The 24,047-nt window shown below is 46.6% G+C and overlaps 1 protein-coding gene and 1 long non-coding RNA gene across 36 annotated transcripts in view, besides 1 other annotated feature; one reads left to right on the top strand and one right to left on the bottom strand.

Moving 5' to 3' along the window:
- The window catches only part of MAPT (microtubule associated protein tau), a 133,781-nt gene that overhangs the window by 26,011 nt on the left and 83,723 nt on the right, over positions 1-24,047 (top strand). The gene's annotated exons all lie outside the window — the stretch shown is intronic.
- On the bottom strand, positions 354-15,420 carry LOC105371800 (uncharacterized). Of its 7 annotated transcripts, none has more exons than XR_007065818.1 (4): positions 14,886-15,420; positions 3,795-3,914; positions 3,151-3,328; positions 354-2,240 (listed from the first exon to the last, which is right to left on the bottom strand). It is a non-coding gene; the product is annotated as an uncharacterized LOC105371800 (long non-coding RNA). The 7 variants fall into 7 exon arrangements; XR_007065820.1 differs by having other exon boundaries at positions 3,151-3,354; XR_007065822.1 differs by having other exon boundaries at positions 3,151-3,357.
- Positions 21,847-22,347: an enhancer, noted in NCBI's record as "OCT4-H3K4me1 hESC enhancer chr17:44019777-44020277 (GRCh37/hg19 assembly coordinates)". NCBI's record gives its function as "activates a minimal SCP1, AML or CMV promoter by ChIP-STARR-seq in primed H9 embryonic stem cells {active_cell/tissue: H9 hESC(primed)}" and the evidence as "EXISTENCE:reporter gene assay evidence [ECO:0000049][PMID:30033119]".

The raw sequence follows: 24,047 nt of genomic DNA on the forward strand, positions 1-24,047 counted from the left end.
CCAACTCTGTGGCTGTGTTCAGTGGCTCAGCACTGCCCCTTGACCCTCCCTGGCCTTCTGCGGATGCCAGACTGGAGCACTCTGACAAGGTCTGGGGTGGTTGTATGGGTCCTGTGACCTCTATACACCTCCCAGTGCCTGGGAATCCTGCAGATACACCCTCCTTAGCCGTCCCTAACCATAGAGGACATTTCTGAGGTCCCCGAGAGAGTGGGGCACCCCTGCAGGATCCAACTGCTGGGCCCAGGAAGGATAGCAGCAGCATGAGGGGTTCCATTAGCCACAAACTCACGGCATGGAACCTTCACCCACCTCGCCCCTCATCTGCTGTTTAGCACCTGGCACGCCGTGTATACTTACTGATTATTACATTTTAATGGCAAATTATAGTGGCAAACGTATGCATCTTTGCACAATTGTTGTACAGCATGATGAACAAGTCATTAATAGTAAAGAATAAATGTGAAAGTGAGAAAAATCTGACTGCCAAAGTTTTTACTCCTTCCTTCCCTCCCCAGACTTTTAAATGAAAGTTTAGGGATAATCCCTTAGTTGTCCTGCTAGTAGGACTTGCAATTAAAAGAATTGGGCCAAGAACACTTCTACGCTTCTCCTTTTAGGTTTGGGTGTAAATTCGGGGTATTTCTCACTGATGAAAGCCTGGTGCAGGGCAGACCGTGGGAAGCTTTCATTTCCGGAATGGACCATCAACATCCCTTGGAGAAGAATTCTCTTCTCCAGACCCAGACCTGGTGTCCTGGCACCCATTGGGCAAGTGGGTCCTAGAAGACAAACCTGGTCAGAGCCTGGAGGCTGCTTAGCATTCCCCACGCACATTAGCAGCTCGGAGAGCTCAGGAAGCCGCAGCCCCTCCTTGCCTCACCAGCCTGGATCAGGACAGCATCCCCTGGAAGACACACAGGGCCTGGCCTCTGATTACCCAGCCTGGAGGGAAAGCTCAATCGAGCATCATGTCACCCGGTGCCCCCATGCAGGGTGGCACTGGTGAGACCCCCAAGCCAATGATACCACCTCACAGGAGTGCAGGCCCATTGTGGCCAGATCATCTTGACTTTTCAAGATAAATCAGAAATCGTATTTCCATGAGATATCCCTATTTGCAAGTGATGGTGACTAAATTAGAAGTTTTTGAATATTGTAACATGTTCGTAGGCTGTTTGTCTGGTTTAAACTCTATCTGGAGGAATTCAAGCTAGACTTCAGGAATAACTTCTTGAGGCAAGGATTTTGAGACCTTAGGGAAAGAAGGACGTCTTGGGGGTATTCTGACTGTTGTCCTCCTGGAAGGGAAGAACAGAGAACTAGAAGACTGCCCTTAGCGAAGTTCAAAGCACCTAAGCCCGGGACCCTCAGCAAGTGTTCTTGAGTCACAGATTCTCCCTGAGGCGCCTCTTTCTGGCTCCATAGAATGGCTGATTCTGTAACTCGGTGAGTTTGCTTTTTTTTTTTCCTCCATCACCCAGGCTGGAGTGCAGTGAAGCTGGAGTGCCGTGGAGCGATCACTGCAACCTCTGTCTCCCAGGTTCAAGCAATTCTCCTTCCTCAGCCTCCCAAGTAGCTGGGATTACAAGCATGCAGCACCACACCTGGCTAATTTTTGTGTTTTTAATAGAGACGGCCCGAAGTGCTAGGATTACAGGCATGAGCCACCGCGGCCAGCCATAACTCTGTGACTCTTGTTACAAAGGCCTTATATTTTGCTCTTTGAGGGTGGTTTTGGTTTGATGCCTGTTGGTTGCCATCTTTTAACTAGGGATGTTTTATCAAAATGCCCAGCCAAAGTGTCCAAACAAATTATACCTTAAAGTTTGAAAATGTCTGGCACTTCTAATTCAATGCCTGTTGTGCCAGGCACTGGGCTGCTGAGGAACTGAGTCCCGTCCCTGCAGGCTAGCTAGAGAACACACACACACACACACACACACACACACACAGAGTGGTCTTACAAGTCAGTTTTATATTCTACCTATATGCAATAAAGGTATTATTATGTTGAGGTGCCTTGATATAAAAATTTTTCTTAAAGGAGAGGATGCCTAAAACAGGCATTACCTGAAACCTCCTCTCTCCAGCATTGGTTGTCTTCTGTCATGACTCAGGGTTTTCACTGAGAATGGGATGGAAATGTGGTCTAAAGATAGGGCCAATGTTGGGACTGGATCCCCTCTGGGAAGTCAGACCAGGCTAGGGCAGGTCCTTGAAGCCATCAGGAAAAGCCTCTGGAGCCAGAAACAAAACAAAAAAAAAATGGTGTTAACTAAACTCAGTCTCAAATCCTGAATAGGACTCAAGTCAAGCAAAATAATTAAAGGAGTTAGCAAAGGGCAAGTCAGAGAGACCGAGCAACACCAATGTCTTCCGGGAGCCCTGTGGCGAGTGACAGAGCCTGGACTCTGGAGTAGAACTCATCTTGTGTCTTCTTCTGCCACTCGTTAGCTGGGTGACCTTGAGCCAAGCCCCTTAACCTCTTGGACCCTATGTTCTTATCTCTAAGTAGGGGCTGGTAATATCTTCCCCTTTGAGGAATGCCCTCTAAGGGGTGTTGTGAAGATTCGGTAAGGTGGCAGGGGTAGGACTCCTGGCCAGAAACAGGCACATAATAAATGCTAAGTCTCTCCTTCTCTCCACCTGCTGGATGCTGTAGATACTAAGGATTTCGATGTGAATGAGACAAAACCCCTGCCTTCCAGGAGCCTTTGAGAATCAGAGAACTAGACCCATTTCCAGAACAAGGGGATGCAGGGTCTGGATAAAGTTTTGGGGATCAATAGAGCAGAGGGCTCCCAGAGGATCCCATAGGGTTGACTCCTAACTCAAGGGCATGAGACAACCCCCAGGAAGGGCACCCTGGAAGGGGTCCGGCTGTCCCTGATTTACTTGTGGGCACTGGGGGAATGCCCGGAGCCATCCAGCCCTCAGGGCTCTGTGTGATTCTGGGTTCCTCCCATAAAAGATAATCAGATTCTTTCACGTTAATGTCTTTCTCCACCTCATTGCACATCATGCAGCTATTCATTGACTCAGCAAGTATCAGCTTTGCATGCGACCTTGGCCTACCCACTTTAGCTTTTAGTAATAGCTCCCTTCTTGAATAATACAACCAGTGGGGAAACAGAACCTAACTCTTACCTCTGGGAGGCTTATTTGCTTTGAGAACATATGTCCTGCAGTTTTGTTCATATGGCAGTGAAGTTTCGTGCACACACTCTAGAGCCAGGCAGCCTGGGTTCAAAGCGCAGCTCTGCCAGGTCCTAACTGCATGAATTTGGGCAAGTCGCTCAACCTCTCCATGCCTGAGTTTCCTCATCTGTAAGATTGGAGCAATGGTAATACCTGCTTTTTAGGGTTGAGAAGAGAATTAAATGAATTAAGATGGGTAAAGTGCTTAGAGTGGAGCTTTGCAAGTAGTAAGTGCTATGTAAGTGTTCGATTTAAAATGAAAGACCCTTAAATACATTCTTTGTTCATTTCACAAGCCCTTCATTTCACAACCTTACATTTCACAACCAAGCTCTGTCTCCCCTGGAATCCAGCCATAACTCTGCTCACAAGTGTGAGACAGGCCCCAGCAGAGCTGCACGAAGAGGAGAGAAGGCAGCCCCCCAGACTCCCAACCCCCTGTCCAAGATGGCAAAACCAGAACACAGCCTCTGTACCACCCCAGCAGGTATTCAGAATCTGCAATCTCCAAAGCCCACTTCAATTGTAAATGTAGAGCCACGTGCGCTTTAAGTCACCTGTCACTCTGGAGGCTCTTTTGCTCAGTTCCTCACCATTAGCAGGGATGACAGGGAGTGCAGGAGTGCGGTCGACTCCCAGATATTGGAGAGCGCTGGGCTAGCTGCCCATTCTCCCGGCCTCCACTCCTCTTTGCTGTCCAGCCATCACTTGCTCTTTGAAGGCAAACAAAACAGAAAACAGTGCCAAAAGTATGGGAAGAAAGCCAGCTTCTCCCCTGGGGTGCCTGTGATGCCATGCCCACCCTCCCTGACCACGCAGCCCCTGTGGACCCTCAGGGCCCCAAGCCCCCATTTCCATCACATGCGTACACCCATGTGTGTCCATAGCCGCCCATCTCAGTCAATAAGGCTGCTCCTGCCCACTTGGAATAGTGGTGACAACCAGGAGTGGCTTATGGGAACTATCCCAATGGCCTGACAGCATGTCCGCTGCAAACCGCTGAGGTAGGACACTGCCCTCATGTCTAGCTGATCAGCAAGAGGCGCAGTTGCTTTCTTAGGTAACATTGCTGCTGTGTCCTGGCCATTGCTGGGGGGTGGCACTTAATCTACACCAGAATTTTCCCTCCTGTATCTTCCAAGCTGCTTGGATCTTGGTGCTGAATTAGGTTGGACTTTGTCTTGTGGGGAAGGGAGGACTATAGACCCTCAACGTAAGCAATGGTCAGACTATTCTAAGAAAACTCGCCGAATTAAAGCATGAGGTAAATTTAGTTCTGACTTCTGTCCACCCCACTGCCACTGTCCCCTTTTATCCCATGATCCCTTGCTTTTCTTTTCCTCCTCTCTCCCTATCTCTTGTGTTTGACGCATGATAGGAATTCAGAAATATATGTTTGTGGATTTGTTTATTCACGTAGCAAACCATTTCTTGAGTGCCTACCATGGGCCAGGTAGAATGGGCGGCCCCGGGCTGCAGTGGTTTCTTCAGCCCCTCTCCAGGGTTTACACTGTGCAAGACGGTTTGTGATGGGTCCTCCCATCGAGGACCACACTCTTCTTTCTCTGTGCCCCTTGGTCCTCAGTCTCTGACCCCACTTCAAAGGCAGCATTCACTCAGGGAAGCTCCCATACAATGCTAGTCAGAGTAAAAGTTTGGACAAATTGCCAGGAAGCAGCTTGTCAGTATGCATAAACAGCCTTTAAAATATTACTACTCTTTGACCCAGAATTTCACTTCTAGGAATCTGTCCTAAGGAAGTAGTCACATGCAAAAGATTTATGTACCAAGATGTTCATCAAAGTGTTGTTTTATAACAGGAAGTCTCAGAAGCTGGATAAATATCCAACCTCTGGAAATGGTTAGATAGAATAGTATGTAGCCATTAGAAAATTATGTCTATGGGGTTTAAAATGTCATGGGAAAACACTTCTGACATAAAAGAGCATGAGAACTGTATATTTAGCATAATCTTAACTATGTTTTAGAATGCACAGGAAAAAAATGTACAAACATATTCATAGTGATGTCTCTGGTGGTAGGATTATGATCAGTAAGTACTTCTGTCTCTTCATATTTTCCTGTATTTGATAATACATGCATATGTTGTTTTTAAAATAAGAAAAATTTTAAGTTTAAAATTGGAGCTGAAAAGTGTTTTTAGGTCAGGCGAGGTGGCTCACACCTGTAATAGCACCACTTTGGGAGGCTGAGGCAGTCAGATCACTTGAGCCCAGGAGTTCGAGACCAGCCTGGCCAACATGGTGAAACCCCATCTCTACTAAAAATAAAAAAATTAGCCATGTGTGGTGGCACACATCTGTAATCCCAGCTACTTGGGAGGCTGAGGCATGAGAATTGCTTGAACCCAGGAGGTGGAGGTTGCAGTGAGCCAAGATCGTGCCACTGCACTCTAGTCTGGGCAACAGAGTAAGACTCTATGTCAAAGAAAAAAAAAAAAGAAAAGCCTTTTTAAACAGTAGCAGACATAACTATATAATCCTTACTAAGCTGTCGGTCAAATTTTTATTTATATATTTATTTTATTCATTTATTATTTTTAGACAGGGTCTCACTCTGTTGCCCAGGCTGGAGTACAGTGGCGTGATCATGGCTCTCTTCAAACTTGACCTCCCGGGCTCAAGTGATCCTCCCATCTTAGCCTCCCAAGTAGATGGGACCACAGGTGCATACCACCACACCTGGCTAATTTTTTTTATTTTTTATTTTTAGAGATGGTGTTTACTATGTTGCCCAGGCTAGTCTCAAACTCCTGGGCTCAAGCTATCCTCCCACCTCGGCCTCCCGAAGTGCTGGGGTTACCAGCATGAGCCACTGTACCCAGCCCTCAAATTTTTAAAAATCTATAAGAGACATTATTGGACAATTAGAGAAATTCACATATGGACTTATAATAGTATCAGAGTGTGTGGTGTGATGGTTCTGGAGGGAATGGACTTTTTCTTTGGAGACAGGCTTTTCTATGCCCACCCTTTTATCTTGCTAACTTATCATCATCCAGGTTCCAGCAGAAACATTACTTCCCCCAGGAAATTTCTTAAGGGTGCAGTATCATGATGTCTGCAGCAAATTCTCAAATAGCTCAGGAAAAAAGTACGTGTGTGGTATGAGTGTGTGTATGTATGTGTGTATATATATACACATATATACACATATATATACATATATGTGTATATATATACATATATGTGTATATATATACACACACATACACATATATATACACACACACATACATACATGTATTTTTATATAATTATATATGCAGAGAGTGCAAATGTTGCCAAGTTAAAGATTGGTGAGTCTAGGTGAAGGGAATATGGTATTTATTGTATTATTTGTGCAACTTTTCTTAAGTTTGAAAATTTTCAAAACAAAAAATTGGAGGAAGAAGGCATGCCAGTCTACCCCAAGCCCTCCATTGGAATGCTGAAAATCTAAACAATGTGATTTGGCAATTTCATTTCTTTTCTGTTGTGGGCCAGTAGTCCTTAGATGTTGGGGAAGGGGGTAGTCGCTGAGGTGTGGTTGACTTAGGATGGAAGAAGCAGAAGTCAAGACTCCCAGGGTCAAAGTGGTTTGCTCTGCTGACCCAAGTGTGGGAGGCCCAGAGTCAGCGTTTCAGGTGTGCTAATTCAGCATGGTTCTATTCACGGCCAAAGTCCACCCTGGGCACCTCTCTGGCAGCAATCTTGGGTGACTCTACTAAGGCCAGGCCTCCATGACCCTATGTCTGGATCCCATATCTCCACCTCTCCCACTGTCTCAGGAACGGTGCTTAGCTTTTTCTTTTCCCTCTCCTGTCTTCTTTGCCAGCATGTAGAAAGTTTAAATAATTCCCCTCTTTACAACAAAACAAAACATACCCCCTTCAGTCAACCACCCTAGCTCTCTTCTCCTTTTCCCAGCCAGATTTTTTTAAAAGCATCCTAGGCCAGGCGCGGTGACTCACGCCTGTAATTCCAGCACTTTGGGAGGCCAAGGTGGGTGGATCACAAGGTCAGGAGATCGAGACCATCCTGGCTAACATGGTGAAACCCCATCTCTACTAAAAATACAAAAAAGTAGCCGGGAGTGGTGGCAGGTGCCTGTAGTCCCAGCTACTCGGGAGGCTGAGGCAGGAGAATGGCGTGAACCTGGTAGGCGGAGGTTGCAGTGAGCCGAGATGGCGCCACTGCACTCCAGCCTGGGTGACAGAGTGAGACTCCGTCTCAGGAAAAAAAAAAAAAAAAAAAAAAAAAGCATCCTCAGCACTTTGGCAACTCCATCTCCTCCCAACATGTCCCTGTTACTGGAATCCAGCCAGGACTCAGCCCCGATCTTTCTACTCTAACCAGTTGTCTCAGTTAACAAGGACAGGTTTATGCTGCAGTGACAAACAAGATCCCAAATTCTTGTGGCTTCACACATCTGGCACCACCTCATCTTCCAGCCTTAGGAGTCATCTTTTAGTTCCTTGAAAACTCTTTACAGTTTTCTGTTGGGGCCTTGTCATATACTATTCCCCTGGAATGTTCTTTCCTATCCCCTCCCTTTCACCTTGCTAACTTGTGCCCATCCTTCAGGTCTCAGCAGAAACATCACTTCCTTGGGGAAGTTTTCTCCAACACCCACACTACACAGGTGTCCCATCTACACTCCTATGACTTTGTGGTACTTGTCTCACTTCATTTTCCACTGCCTTCCCCACAAGGCACCTGCACAAGGGCAAGGACCGTACCACTGTACCTATGTCACTCATTGCTGTGGTCACCTGCACTCTGGCTGCCTACCTTAACTACACATTAGAATCACCTGAGGAGCTTTTAAAGCCACAATGCAAGACTCCACCCTAGGCCAATTGGATCCAAATCCCTGGGGTAGGGCCAGACATCAGTGGAGTTATATATACATATATATATTTTGTTTGTTTGTTTGTTTGTTTTTTGAGACAGAGTTTTGCTCTGTCACCCAGGCTGGAGTGCAGTGGCGCGATCTTGGCTCACTGCAAGCTCCGCCTCTCGGGTTCACACCATTCTCCTGCCTCAGCCTCCTGAGTGGCTGGAACTACAAGTGCTCGCCACCACGCCCAGCTAATTTTTTTGTGTTTTTAGTAGAGATGGGGTTTCACCGTGTTAGCCAGGATGGTCTCGATCTCCTGACCTCATGATCTGCCTGCCTCATCAGCCTCCCAGAGTGCTGGGATTACAGGCATGAGCCACTGCACCCGGCCATCAGTGGATATATTTTTAAAGCACTGCAGAGAATTCTGTTGCATCAGCTTGAGAACCACTGATCTGCCTTGTGCTTCACATTTAAAACTTTTTTTTAATGAATAAATAAACCCCAAAAAATTAATCTCCCTAAGCCTCCCTAGAAGATAGGATGGTAAGGATATTTTCCTAGGTAAAAATATGTTAATTTCATATTTCATGAAATTTCATGTTTCATTTCAATCAAGCTCTGTCATACACCTTACATGGGGCAAGCCCAGTGCCTGGGCAGGGTGTAATTATACTCATTACACAGGCAAGGAAAAGTCACATTAGGTGATGGAGCACAAATAGGCAGTTAATGGTTTCAGGGCTAGTTAGGATATGTTTGTCTTTCAATTGCAAGTAATAGAAGCCCAAAGAAATTGGTTATTTATATAATATAATTGATTGGTTCCCAAATTTGAAAAATTCAGGAATAGACCCAGCTTAGGTACAGCTGGATCCAGTCACTCAAACAATGTCACAAAGAACCCTTTGACAGGAATGTATCCTGTGTTGACTCTACTTTGCTCTGAGTAGTCTTTCCCCAGGTGATGATAAAAATGGTCATCATCGCCAGGCTTGTGTCCTGTTTAGTAGGAATATACAAGAAGAGCTCAGTAAATGCTGGCCCCACCACTAAGCAAAAACAAAACTTTTGTTGTTGTTATTGTTGTTTTAAATAACAGCTTAGACCTTTCTTCTTTCCTTGTTATTCTCTTTCATCTGTAATCCAGTTTTCTACTTCTGAAGTATAGAATGTTCTGATGATTTATTCTTCATTACCCACAACTTGCACATGTTTATTTAAAAATGCCAGGATTGCCTGGCCGTTGTGTGCTGTTAACCTTTGTTTGCTGTTAGTGGATCCCTGAAGTTCAGGCTCCCAGGGGAGCAGATAATGGGTATCCAGTTCCTGCAATATCCACCCTCTGGCAAGCCAAGTTCCTTCCTGGGTAAGGTTTTGCCTACCTGCATTCCTAGGGAAGTTTCTGGGCCTGACCACCAAGCCAGCTCTGAGAAGGGGTGCATAAGCCCCACCATGCTTTGGCTCTGTCCCTATAGAATATTTTATGTTGTTACTGAAAACTAAAGGAAGATGGGTGCGGTGGCTCATGCCTGTAATCCCAGCACTTTGGGAGGCCAAGACAGATTGATCACTCGATGCCAGGAGTTCAAGACCAGCCTGGCCAACATGGTGAAACCTTGTCTCTACAAAAACAAAACAAAACAAAAATTAGCCGGGTATGGTGGCATGCACCTGTGGTACCAGCTACTCAAGAGGCTGAGGCACAAGAATCTCTTGAACCTGGGAGGTAGAGGTTGCAGTGAGCCGAGATCGCACTACTGCATTCCAGCCTGGGTGACAGAGCAAGATTCTGTCTCCAAAAAAAAAAAAAAAAAGAAAAGGAAAGCTAAAGGAGAGAGACTAAAATGATATCAGGTTCCTGGAGAACAAACAGACATGATTTTGCTTCATGGCAGGACAGCCGGAAGAAGTGGGATTATATCCTCACATTACAAATAAGAAAACTGAGACTCAGAATGGTTAAGTCACTTGTCCCAGGCCACACAGCCAGTAAATTACAGAAACAGAATTTGAACCCAAATCTTCCAGCTCCAAAGCTTGTGTTCTTTTCACTACCTCCTGCTTAATTTTTTAATTTCTAAGATTAGACCCTTCATCTATCCATGACACCTGCCTGTCATCCCCTGAAAAAAGGTGAACGCCGTTCAGAAATTTTTCTAGCCTGAGCTCACTCCCAGTTCACTTATTTTTGCTTTGTCATGGCTGCCCAGTCCCCACTTGTAGACCAGGAATAGGTCATGGCTGCGGGGACTACACGCTGTCGCTGCTGCAAGGGCCGGCCTCTGTTTCCGGGGCTGAGTGGGGGCCAGACCTGCCAGGAGCACCATCTTCTGTGGGTCCTGCCTGGATGTCACATCCCGGCCCCAAGAAGTCACTGCAAACCTTCGTATTATTGAGCTTCACATCCTAGAATTTGCTGTCACTGTGGCTGCTGCATGAAGTTGTCCTGAGAGAAACGGGCATTGTCATTAACAGGGAAATTGATGGTCTGGGGGAAAAGTCATCCTCATTCTCTTGCAGATCTATGGGTGATTGAGACTGGCTGATGTTGAAGGGGTTTCTCAGCCATCGTGTGCCATGTTATGGAACAGTGGTGTAGCCAGCCATTTGACACCCAGCGCTGACCTTTGTTTAACAACCTCACCTATATATGACAAAATGATTGTCAGAAATAATCGTGTAATGAAATGACTGTAATAATGGCCAGAAAAGAAACGCAGATAGTAAAATGTTTCTCTTGTTGAACTCTGTACATATAATTGCACCAGGATTTTTTTCAAATAAAAAGTAAATATTATACTACAAAAAAGGGAAAAAGCACAAGCATTTATTAAATAGCTTTCTATATCTTTCTGAGTTTTGATCCTTTGATTGCAGACTGATGTAATATTTTATGTAAATCATTGCTTGGTTACTAAGTGAACTTTAAGAAAAGTGAGACGTCTGCAGAAGTTGCCCATAATTTAGCAGCTACTGTATTGTACCATTGATGTACGGCTTTATTTTCTTGATTAATTATTTAAACAATATAATTCACAATTTTAAAATAATAAATTTCCACTTAAAATGGTATTTAAACTCAGCAAAATATATCATCTATGAGTAAAATTTGTATTTACCAAGCAAAAATATTACAGTTTGTGGTTCACATGCTGTCTCACTGTTTTAAATTTTAAATACAAAAACTCCAAGTAGGCTGGGTGTGGTGGCTCACACCTGTAATCCCAGTACTTTGGGAGGCTGAGGCAGGCATATCGCTTGAGTTCAGGAGTTCAAGATTTGCCTGGGCAACATAGTGAGATCCTGTCTCTACTGAAAACAATTAGCTGGGTGTGGTGGCACATGCCTGCGGTCCCAGCTACTCAGGAGGCTGAGATAGGAGGATCACTTGAACCCTGGGGGACAGAGGTTGCAGTGAGGCAAGATTGCACCACTGCACTCCAGCCTGGGTGACAGATTGAGACCCTGTCTCAAAAAAAGAAAAAAAAAAAAGAAACACAAAAACTCCAGGTGGTCGCACAGAATGACAGGACTGAAGTAACTTAGCTCCAATTTCTGTCTTCATAATCACTGTCCTACCATTGTCTGTGCTTAGAATCTACTTGCTTAATGCAGGAACATGTGTTCTCACAGAGATGGAAAATGCAAATGGCGCCAGAAGCAAGCTGGAAATTCTGAACCATTAAGAATTTACTCTCTGCCAGGCACGGTGGCTCACGCCTGTAATCCCAGGACTTTGGGAGGCTGAGGCAGGCAGATCATCTGAGGTCAGGAGTTCAAGACCAGCCTGGCCAACATGGTGAAACTTCATCTCTACAAAAATACAAAAATTAGCCAGGCATGATGGTGGGTGCCTGTAATCCCAGCTACTCGGGAGGCTGAGGCAGGAGAATCGCTTGCACCTGAGAGGTGGAGGTTGCAGTGAGCCGAGATCTATCTGCACCATTGCACTTCAGCCTGGGAGACAGAGTAAGACTCCATCTCAAAAAAAAAAAAAAAAAAAAAGAACTTACTCTCAAAATAAATACGTGTGGCTGACTCCACATATGGTAGGGCCAACTGTATAACTAGAAGTTCTCCAAATAACTTCTGTGGAGAAAAAAAAGTTTATTAAAGGTTAACTTTTTTAAAGTGCTAACTAGAACCTTACTAACACTGAGATCGCACCAATTGTTTATAACTTAGACAGGGCCGGGTGCAGTGGCTCATGCCTATAATCCCAACACTTTGGGAGGCCGAGGCAGGTGGATCACTTGATGTCAGGAGTTCGAGACCAGCCTAACCAACATGATGAAACCCCATCTCTACTAAAAATACAAAAATTAGCCAGGCACGGTGGTACACGCCTGTAATCCCAGCTACTGGGGAGGGTGAGGCAGGAGAATCTCTTGAACCCAGGAGGCGGAGATTGCAGTGGGCCAAGATCGCACCATTGCACTCTAGCCCCAGCAACAAGAGTGAAACTCTGTTTCAAACAAACAAACAAAAAAAAAAACCTCTTGGACCAGGAAAATATTTTTTAAGGGAGGAGTATTTTATCACTGGCATTGTTTAGGATTGCAGGCACATGATGCTAATGAAAAGCAGACTAACTATTAGTTGGTTTTATTACTGTTTTTGAACTCTCTCTCTCCCTTTTTTTTTTTTTTGAGACAGAGTCTCTCTCTCTGTCACCCAGGCTGGAATGCAGTGACTGCAGTCTCAGCTCACTACATCCTCTGCCTCCTCAGTTCAAGTGATTCTCGTGCCTCAGCCTCCCGAGTAGCTGGGATTACAGGGCACCACACCAGGCTAAGTTTTTGTATTTTTAGTAGAGGCAGGGTTTCACCATGTTGCCCAGGCTGGTCTCAAACTCCTGGCCTCAAGCGATCTGCCCATCTTGACCTCCCAAAGTGTTGGGATTACAGGCGTGAGCCACCGTGCCTAGCCCTGTTTTTGAACTCTCTAGAGACAGTCCAGCCCCTTATTACTTGTCCTGAGGCAGCTGCTCCCTTCACCTGGCCCCCCGCATTGTGTTCCGGACCCTTGTCCTGGTGGTGCTAAAGAATATCTCTGTCGATCCTTTGGGGACTGGGGAAACTGAGGCCCAGTGCCACGCGATGCCATTTGTTCAGGGAAGATTAGGTCATCTGCTAGGTCCCCAGTCACTTGACCTTCTTCCCAGACAGGAAGAAGCTGCTCTGGGTCTCTCAGTGCTCCACGTGTCTTTGCACATTGAAATGTTTTCTGATTTTTTTTTTTTTTTTTTGCTGTTACATTTACTTTTAAAAAATAACAAGCAATAAAATGTTACATTTGAGAAGGTTGAAATGAGAATTGATTTGAGTTAAATTCTAGCAGATTTTTCTTAGAAGAATGATATCATCATCTCCAGCTACCTGCAATTGATCTACTCTGAATTAAGAAAGAGACTTCCATTTGTTGTTTATATTTTGCACTCTTGATGTGTTTCTTTAAATTATGGTCATGGGCCAGGTGTAGGAGCTCACACCTGTAATCCCAGCACCTTGGGACTCTGAGGAGGGAGGATCACTGGAGGCCAGGAGTTCAAGACCTCGTCTGTACAGTAAATTTTAAAAATTAGCCAGGCATGGTAGCATTCACCTGTAGTCTTAGCTACTTGGGAGGCTGAGATGGGAGGATTGCTTGAGCCAGAACTTTGAGGCTACAGTGAGTTATTTTCACGCCACTGCCCTCTAGCCTGGCTGACAGAGCAAGACCTGCCTCAAAAAAATAAGTAAAAAATAAATTAAATTTCAATCATTAGCAGTCATTAGGATATTTAAATACAGTATGTTGAATCAAAGTTACGCATGTGTGTATTTTTTTTTCCAGAGAGTTGTTTATCATGTGGGTTTTAATTTAACTTTAAAAAAATGTTGGCTGGACAGTTGCCCAAATGGTATCATCAGCCATTTGGTTGAGAACGTATGTCCTGCGGGCTCCTCTGTCACTGGAGTTTTGCTAGCTGACAGCCACTGGCTAGTTAGAGACTGCAGTCAGCACAGATGCAGGCGTGGACTTGCGCACGTAACCATGTCAATGCAAAGCCATCACTTCTTAAAAATTCTGAACCCTGCTGTCTGAGATGGTGGTGCAGCGGATAGAACTCTGCTCTAAGAGGCAGTAGCTAATTCCATGTCTTCTTTGCCCTTGACTAGCTGAGTGACTTTGCACATGGGGCTTGCCTCTCTGTTGCCTTGTCTGCAAAGTGGAATCATCTTTTCCTTGCTAGACAGAAGGTGGACCCTGGACCTATGGCCTTTTTGAGTTTCCCCCCCGCTTCTTAGAAGGACCTCTGATCCTACTGAGTTTAATACCCACGGGTTAATAATTGGGAAAAGCAAAGGAAGCGCTTCTGTTTAGGTAATTATATGCATGTTTTTGTCTTTTTCTGGCTGGAAAGATATCCAAGCCACTGGGAAGGTCCGTGGCTACCCAGGGTAGCCCTCTCTGGGGAGGGCTGCTATATCCAAGAGCCCCTCATGAGAATTTGAAAATCGACCATGGTAGGGCCTGCTGACTTTTGACAGCTAATGGTGTGCTGAGAATTGTCCCTCCAAAGATGCCTTTCCATTCCCTCGGGAGAGTCTGGGCAGCCCCTACTGGGGGCTGGGATGCTGGCTCTTCCCTCAGCCTCCACCCCAACTGCTCTCTTCCCTCCTCCCCTCCCCAGCCCCCTAATTTCTCTCACAAGGCTTTGTTCTGCAGCAACCTTTCCTAATGCAGTCCTGGCCTCTTCGCAGCTTCATTACATAACCTTCCGTGGACTCCTGGTCCAAGGATCACCCCAGAAAGCCAGTCAGAGGTAGGCACGCAGCTGGGGTCCATTTACTTACCTTCCCCACCCCCTCGGAACTCAGAGGTGGTGCAGGAATTTGGACTCCAAGAATTAACAGCTCCACCACCATCACCAGAGCCAAAACTCAGGATGCATGTGCTTCATCTGCTGCTTATTTCCAGCTGAGAGCCAGTGGTGCCATGGTTCCTTAGGGAGCCGGTCCCCTGATGCCGGCTCCTGGCCCCAAATCTCTCTGATCCGGGCTCTTCCAGAATGTCTTGTCTCCACCATCGCCTTTGACCAATGGTGTCCCTTTGCCTGGTAATGTCCCCTTTGCCTGATGATGGCCCTGTCACTCCTCTCTTTAGCACAGAGGAGGCTGTTTCATCCCTTCAAGCCTGCCCTCCCTTCAAGTCTTAGCTCAAGTTCACCTTCTCCGCAGAGCCTTCTCCAATCTTCTTGACTACGTCTCCTCTCAGCTCCAGCAACCTCTGTCTCTGGCACTGATTCCTTACTTAGCTAAGAGAATCACAGACACTTGGGGCTCAGGACAATCTGCTTTCTCTCTTCTTACCCATGGCCTTGGACTGTGTGTACCTCTTTGTCTCCACTCCCAAACCCAACCCCCAGAGGGCAGAGAGCATGTTGTCTGTCCCTTTGCTCAGCATGAAGCCATGCGTGTGGTAGATCGGCAGAGTTCCATAACTTGTGTTGACCGAGGGGTCACTTTGCTCTGAAATTACCCCTGTGTCCTTCAGTATTTGCACAGATAGCTTCCTGGCCAGACCGAATATATCCAAGGGCATGGCCCACCTCTGCTCCTGTTTCCAGGTCCCTGGTGGGGGTTAGTTCATGCCTTCCTCATAATCTGCCCACTGGCCTGGTCCTCAAGGTCTTCCCAACTGCTCAGCCAGAGTTGAGAAAATGGGTCGCTCCATCCTGTTTGTGTCGTTCTCTCCTTCCTGGCCCACTCTCCTGCCCACAGGTATCCAGGGGCTGCCTGTAGCATTAGAGGACATACATGCACATGCGTGGGCATGGGACACTCACGTAGCCTCCAAGCACAGCATCAATAATGCATTCTGTGCTTTATAGCATGGAAAGCTGCTCTAAACTTTATTACACAGTGGACATGTCTGAAGCAGCTCCCAAATCCACCCCTGAGTGTGTTGGAATTGGCAAGCCTATCACTTGGGAGTCTAGTTTTTTTGTTCGTTAATAATAGATGCTTCCTGTGGCCCCAGCTTGGCAATTTTGATTTAAAGTGATCTTAACTGAAGAGACTAATGGACGGGTCTGAATTTGTGCCTTTTAAGCACAAAGTATTGCTCTTAATTAACTGGATTCTATCCTTTGAGCAGGCAGAGGCCTTCCCCCAAGGGCGTCATTAACGATCCACATCTGGACATCTTCCAAAGCCTTCTTCTGTTTCAGGCCAACCGCAGGTGTGTTCCTGAACACCCAGGAGGCTATGAGAGCCACATATGCCTCCCAAATACACACAGTGTGCATGCCCAGGGACATAGAGCAGTGTGCAAAGTCCCATTCCATCTCTCTCCACCTGGGAGAGGATGGCTCTTCTGTCTGATTCATGGCTCAAAGTGGTAAAGGAGCTCCCCACTCCCCGTCCCACGCCTACTCAGAGTCTGCAAATATGTATGCGATATGAGAGCTCGTCAGTTAGCTGTCTTCAGTGTGGCGCACATTTGAGGAGTCTGACTCCCCTCCAGCACAGGCCAATGTGCACTGCTCTCCTATCTTTGTACCCCCACTGTTGCACTGTGCAGAGGTTGGAGCCATAGAAGTACCAGAGCTGTGAAAGGAGAGGCCCCCTCTCACCTCTGCCCTGGTCTCCATCCCCACTTTCTCTAGGAAGCTAGTAGGTGCTGACAGGGGAGAGAAGGGAGGGGAGGGGTCCAGAAACAGTGGCTCATGCCTGCAATCCTAGCACTTTGGGAGGCTGAGGCAGGAGGATCATTTGAGGTCAGGAGTTTGAGACCAGCCTGGGCAATGTAGCAAGACCCTATCTCTACAAAAAGAAAAAATGTAATTAGCTGGGTGTGGTGGTGGGCACCTGTAGTCCTAGCTACTTGGGAGGATGAGGTGGGAGGATTGCTTGAGCCCAAGAGTTTGAGGTTACAGTAAGCTGTGATTGCACCACTGCACTCCAGCCTGGGCAACAGAGCTGAGACCCTATCTCAAAAAAAGAAAAAAAAAAAGAAAGGAGAGAGAGAGAAAGAAAAGAAAAGAAAAAAAAAAAAGAAGGGAAGGGAAAGCCCAGAAGAGTGTGGGGAGAGGAGGCGGCCGTCATTCTGGGGCCCTCAGTGTGCACAACCAGATAACACATGCTCTGTGGGCTTTTGTACCATTTTGCTTGAGCATAAAGAAAGGAAGGCTGCCCCTAAATAGAAAGCACTCTGGAGGCAAACAAATCTGACTCCAATCCTGGCCCTGCCACTTTCCCAGCTGAGGACTTAGACAAGCACCCTAGCCTCTTGGACATTCTCAGAGCCATCTGCTGCAAGTGGGTGCTGCCATACCCACCTTACTGGGCAGGCTTGGGGGACCAAGGGTGGTAAATGGCTCAGTCTTTCATGATGCGGCCACACAGCAGGTGCGCCATCCAGGTCCATTTCTTTCCTTCCTTTCCCCCAAATCAAGTTGTCATTAAAGTACTAGTCCACATTAATGAAATCAACTGTATTAATTTTCTATTTGCTGCTATAATAAATCATCAGAAATTTAGTGGCTTAAACCAACACAAATGTATTACCTTACAGTTCTGGAGGCCAGAAGCCCTCCATAGGTGTCACTGGGCTGAAATCAAGGTTTTGGCAAGGTTGCGGTCCTTTCTGGAGGGTCCAGGGGAGAATCCATTTTCTTCCTTTTTCCAGCTTCTAAAGGTTTCATGCATTCCTTGGCTCATGATCTTCTATAGCTATAGTCAGAAAAATTTTCCATCAATCATCTTCAAAGCCAGCAATGGCAGGATGAGTCCTCACATCACCTTGCTCTGACACCAGTTCTCTGCCTCCCTCTTCCACATGTCAGGACCCTCATGATTACTTTGGGCTCACTCTGATAATCTGGGATGATCTCTCTATTTTAGAGTCAGCTGACTGGGAACCTTAATTCCATCTACAACCCCAATTCCTCTTTGCCATGTACAGTGACATATTCACAGGTTCTGGGGATTAGGACGAGCCTGTCTCTGAAAGGCTACTTTACATGAAAATTCATTTTTTTAATTAAGATTTTTTTTTCCTCTTGAGACAAGGTCTCACTCTATGGTTCAGGCTGGAGTGCAGTGGTATGATCACAGCTCACTGCAGCCTCGACGTCTCTGGGCTCAGGTGATCCTCCCACCTCAGCTTCCCTAGTAGCTGGAACTACAGGGGTGAGCCCCCATGCCCAGCTAATTTTTTTTTTTTTTTTTTTTTGAGACAGAGTCTCACTCAGTCACCCAGGCTGGTGTGCAGTGGTGCAATCTCAGCTCACAGCAACCTCCGCCTCCTGGGTTCAAGTGATTCTTGTGCCTCAGCCTCCCAAGGAGCTGGGACTACAGGTGTGCACCACCACGCCCGACTAATTTTTGTATTTTTAGTAAAGATGGGGTTTCACCATGTTGGCCAGGCTGGTCTCAAACTCCTGATCTCAAGTGATCCACCAACCTCAGCCTCTCAAAGTGCTGGGATTACAGGTGTAAGCCAACATGCCCGGCCCCAGCTAATTTTTAAATATTTTTTTTGTAGAGATGGGGTTTTACCATTTTGTCTAGGCTGGTCTTGAACTCCTGGGCTCAAGCAAACCTCCCACCTTGGTCTCCCAAAGTGCTGGGATTACAGCATGAGCCACTGCACTCGGCCTTAAGAGAAGATTTAATAATTAATACTTTACAACAAGATCTGGAAGAGGTGGGATGAGTAACTAAATGAGGATACAAGTAACCCGGGTCATATTTGCTAATACCCTTGGTCACATTGAACTTGATATCTTATCAGATTTTCCTAATCAGCTCCTTTAGCAGCAGTGTTGCAGCATCTTATCTCATTTTGTTTTTTGTTTTTTTGCCTAGCACATGCCTGTAAATCACTGGATTGAGGTGTTTAGATGTTTGTTGTCCTTTGGATGCTTCTTATAAATCCATATTTCATGGCTCCCTGGAAAGTGCTATGCAAATGATAAGCTGCAAGGATGGAAAGGAAATTGCAGTGCTCCTGAATTGTAAATGGGCTTTTACGAGGAGGTTTCTAATTACTCGCTCTTTCTCTTGAACTGAGGAGTTGAAGTGTAGGTGGCAGATCCATAACAGATAATCATGTGTGTGATGTGACTTCAGCCTGAGCGTCGAGGACCAAGTCACAGAGCAGGAACAGCCACTCTCCAGTGTCCTTGGGGCTACGTCTGAGGAGAACCTGGGATTTCATATATGACCTGCACTGGCTGGGGGGCTCTCTTGACGTAACGTGTTCCCTCTGAGCATGTTACAGATTCTGACATTCTTATGTTCCTTCTGTGGAGAGACATGTACTTAGTGACCTAACTCACTTTAGCATATTTTTGCTCATCGTTTGTGTAGCTTAAAGGAATCAGATAATTACCCCCTCCCCACTACTTTCGGAAGCACAAATGCAATGCCCTAGAATTGTACTGGGGACTCAAAAAGAAAAGAGAGTAGTAAAATCTATTAAAGGGGACAAAGACAGCCTATATACTACAAGCTTTCTATTTTTATGGCAGAGAATGCCATTTTCTAAGTAAACAGAGAACTGCATTTGACCTGCAATATCAAATGCATGGATTTGATGCTTTGGAAAGCAACTGTTTTCTGCGTTAATCTGGGTGTCTTCCGTGAAATGTCCTCCTGCCTTTGGCTTAAACACTAGCTTTGTCTACAGCCATTCCATCCTGAACCTGCCCAATCTTGTCTGAATCCTGGTTTCACCACTGACAAGCTGTGTGTCCTTGGGCAAGTTACTTCACCTGTCTGTGCTTCAGAGTCCTCATCTGTGAGTTGGGGAATCTGGACAGAATCTACCCCATAGGGCGTAGTGAGGATGTGTTGAATTATCCCAAGTGGCTACACAGAGTAAGCACTCAAATGATGTCATCGTTGTCATGATTGCTGTTACCAGAGCCTAGAGTTCATTCTGATACTCGAGTCTGTGGCCCATCCAGCCCAGGTAAGGAATAGTTGGAGGAGTTGGGCATGTTCAGCTTGAAGAGGAGACGACAGGGGATATGGGATAGTTGAATCTGTGAAGGGCCCCCTGGGATGAAGAACTGGCATGTTCTGTGTGGCTCCAGGGCACTGAGCAGGACCCATTTGCCAAAGTCTCAGGGACACAGTTTCTAGCTATAGACAGAAAAATTTTCTGTCACTCAGAGGATGAAAATAGAATGAGCCCCCTTAAGAGGTAATGAGCTCCCTGTCATTGGAAGGATTCCAGAAGAGCTAGGTAACCACTTTAGGTGCTATCAAGGGGCTTTTTTCTTTAAAGTCCTTTCCAAAAGCTTCTGAGATTGCATAAACAATAGGAAGCCATCTTGGTGCTTTAACACAAACTCTCCCCAGTGATGAGGGTTGAGCCAAAGCCAGATTGGCAAGCAGAGAGGAGACTTGTGTACAAGGAGTTCCTCGAGTCAATTGCTTTTTCCTTGTTCTAGCCAGCCAGAGGGCTCCTGTTGGAAAACAGGAGACCGGAGAGGCTGAGGCCTGACCAAACCAGCTTCTGCAGGCCAGCTGGGAGGCCACAACTCCTACCTACGGGAAAACTGAAGGGCATCTCTATTTTTAGATTAGCAAAAGAAAATAAATTTAAGTTTGAGTCTCCTTTGCAACTTTTAAAAGACATCTTTATTGAGATGATCATTCACATTCTATAAAATTCCCCCACTTTGAGTTACAATTCAGTGGTTTTAGTCTTCCTTGATGATTTTGATGGTCTTTTCTTAAGGCTCTTGGAAGACCCAGAAGCCTCTCAGACACAGGTGGGTGTGGAGGGCGTAGCACAGAGGCAGACTTCTCATTTCCTGGGTCTCCCCTTTAATGACTCTCAGAGACCCCTCCTTCCCCCTGCCCCTGGCTTCTACCCCAGGGGTGTAGAGTTTTGCCATTTTCCAAGCAGAACTTCATTTCCTCTTCTGTGTCTACACTCTTTGTGCTTCTTTCTTGCCAGCTTTTTCTCCTTTGCCCGCCCTTCCTTCCTTCCTTCCCTCCCTCCCCCCTTCCCTCCTTCCCTCTTTCCCTCCTTCCCCCCTTCCACCCTTCCCCCCTTCCCCCCTTCCCTCCTTCCTTCCTTCCTTCCTGCCTGCCTTCCTTCCTTCCTTCCTTCCTTCCTTCCTTCCTTCCTTCCTTCCTTCCTGGTATGTGACTAATTTCTGTTTCAGGACATAAATGTTGTCCAGGCTGTTCTTTGGTCTTTCTGTTGGATAATGGACATTTGGCATTGAGAGAGGCTGCTTTTTCTGAAATCATGTTCTTGGGGCCCAGAACCTAGGTGTGTGCTTCTGACTTTGTTTTCTTCCTGATCCAAATTCTGATATGTCCATTTAAATTGATCTAGACCCACAGGGCACTGTGGGACAGATCCTCAGTGGAACATGACTCTGTAACGAGAGCATTTTGTTTTGTCAAAATGAGAACATATTATTGCCTTTCATCTGATTGTAAACATAATACATGTTTATAAAACAGTATAATGAGACAAAAATGTAGACACTAATAAGGGAAAATCTCCCTAATTGTATTTCTCTTCACAGAGAAAGCCCCTGTTGGGCATATATACTCTAGTTTGTTTATTTGTTTGACTACACATATATGTATTCTTTTCTTATGTATAAAAATTCTGAACATGCACATTTCTGCAACTACTGTTTTCACTTGATGATGCATGGACCTCTCTAGAGTGTACGTTTCTTCTTCCTTACAAAGCAGTTGGCTTCGCCCAGGGTGCACCAGGACACGGTTTTGGCTCTGTCCCCAGGGTGTCACGGGACCAGGGGATGATCTCACAGGGTCTGCCATCTGCCCTGCCTGGCCGGAGGCTGCATCGAGAGGGCCAAGGGGCACCACGTGTCGTGGGTACTGTCAAACAAGAGCCTTCAGAGCCTTCCACAGTCTTTCTTTTGCTTCCCAGCATTGCTTCCCCGCTGGTGGACTCTGAATCTAGAACTAGCTCCAGGCGCCTCTCCAAATTCAGACGGGAGCTGGGGCACTATTATAATGCAAATCTAGGCAAAGCCCTCCCAATACCAGGATCCAGAATGGGGTGGGGCCCTTTGCCCTGAAAAGCTGTTTAGTTTGAAAATACAAACAGGAGACAGAAAAGTTTGGCTAAATTAATGGATAAAGTTTTAACGATGGTAACCATAGTAGGGTTCATCGACAGCCAGCGATGGTTCTGAACACTTGACATGTATTAACTCACCTAATCCCCACATTTTACAGACAATGCAAAGGAGGCTCTGGGAGGTTGAGTGACTTGCCCCAAAGTCGCACAGCTCCTAAGTGAAGGATTCGGAGTGGACTCCAGGCAGCCTGGTCTGACTCCCTGCACTGCGCTGTGCTTATCTCTGGCCCCAATGCCGCCATGCAGAAGTGTCTGGGGGCACTTTGTCTCTGTCAGACAGAATTCGGAGATGTGTATGCTTGCCCTGGTATGGCACTTCTCTTTTTTTGAGACAGAATCTCACTCTGTCACCCTGGCTGGAGTGCAGTGGCATGATCTCAGCTCACTGCAACCTCCGCCTCCCAGGTTCAAGCAATTCTTGTGCCTCAGCCTCCCAAGTAGCTGGGATTATAGATGTGCACCATCGTGCCTAGCTAAATTTTTGTACTTTTAGTAAAGATGTTGTTTTGCTGTGTTGGCCAAGCTGATCTCGAACTTTTGGCCTCAAGTGATCTGCCTACCTCAGCCTCCCAAAGTGCTGGGATTACAGGCATGAGCCACCATGCCTGGCAGTGTGGCACTTCTTACGTGTGTTCAGCGGACACTGTTTATCTTCTGTCCCTCCAAGACGGTGCTGAGCTCAGGTCGTTCATTACTGGCAGACAACTGCTGATTTCCAACAGAATTGCCATCCTCTTCTCCCCTGCGACTTTCAGAGTGTGACCTCAGACTCAAAAATTAGAAGTGAAAACATCTTAAAAACTATCACCTTTTCTTCCTAATCCTCCTCTCCCCTCCCTGTCTTCCTTGTTGTCCCCATCTAATGAACTATCATGGCAAAAAGAGCCCATTTCTGGTCATTTTCTGTGGCCTTTCAAACTCCCACCTACCCCACTGCTCCTGGGTGCATTACCCGAAAGCTGAGACTTCAGTGCAGAAAGTGCCAGGCCCTCTGTCCCCCCAGATCGCCTTCCTTGTCTTCCCTGTGCTTGCCTGTCACATTGTGTGGGTTCCAGCGCTGGAAGGAATGAGGAACAGATTCTCTGGTTCTCCTTTTGAAGTTTACCTTCGCTCCACCACTTCTGAGACCTTCCCGGAAGTTGCCCCTTGTTTCTCTCCTCTCCAGGGCTGCCCCAGAGCTGCCTCTCACCTCTTCCTGCTGTCACCCCACCACCATCAGGGCAGAAGTTGGGACAAAGCCTCTCCTACTGGCTCCTGCTTTTCTCCCTTAGGTCCAGCCTCCTCTTCTCCATCTTCAGGAGTCTCCTTCTCCACTCACACGTCATGACTTCAGCACCTCGCATCAGTCCAGAATATGACTGCTTGTTCAAGTGCCACCTTTCTCATGCATTTTTTTCTAGTGACAATCACAGCCACCCTGTGGGGCAGGAGTGTCATCATCCCCATGTTTCAAATGAAGAATTGCAGTTCAGAGAGGGCAAGTGACTGGCCCAGCCTCAACAGCTAGCCAGTGGACCCCACCAGGGCTTCTGACTCCAGTCCGGGTTCCCTTTCCACCCAAATCCATGGAGGGAGCTGAGCCGAGAACAGGTGTCCTTCAGGAAGACGTGAAGCCAAAGCCTCCACCTCCAAACTCAGGGGCCCAGGGAGTCCAGGCACCCATCCACTCACAAGGCTGGATATGGTGCATTCCAGGAGAGGGGTTGGGGGCGAGTGGCCTCTCTGTGTACCCGTGGGGATAGATGCGCAAGTGGCATCGCCACATCGTGAGTCCTGGCTTCATGGGTGAGCTCCAGGTCCAACGAGAAGCCAAGCAGGGGGCCCTTCAAGCTCAGCTTTGGGCCCGGGTCGGGGTACAGGGTAGAGCG

This window comes from Homo sapiens, chromosome 17 (assembly GCF_000001405.40).
Source record: "Homo sapiens chromosome 17, GRCh38.p14 Primary Assembly".
Classification (NCBI taxonomy): Eukaryota; Metazoa; Chordata; class Mammalia; order Primates; family Hominidae; genus Homo; species Homo sapiens.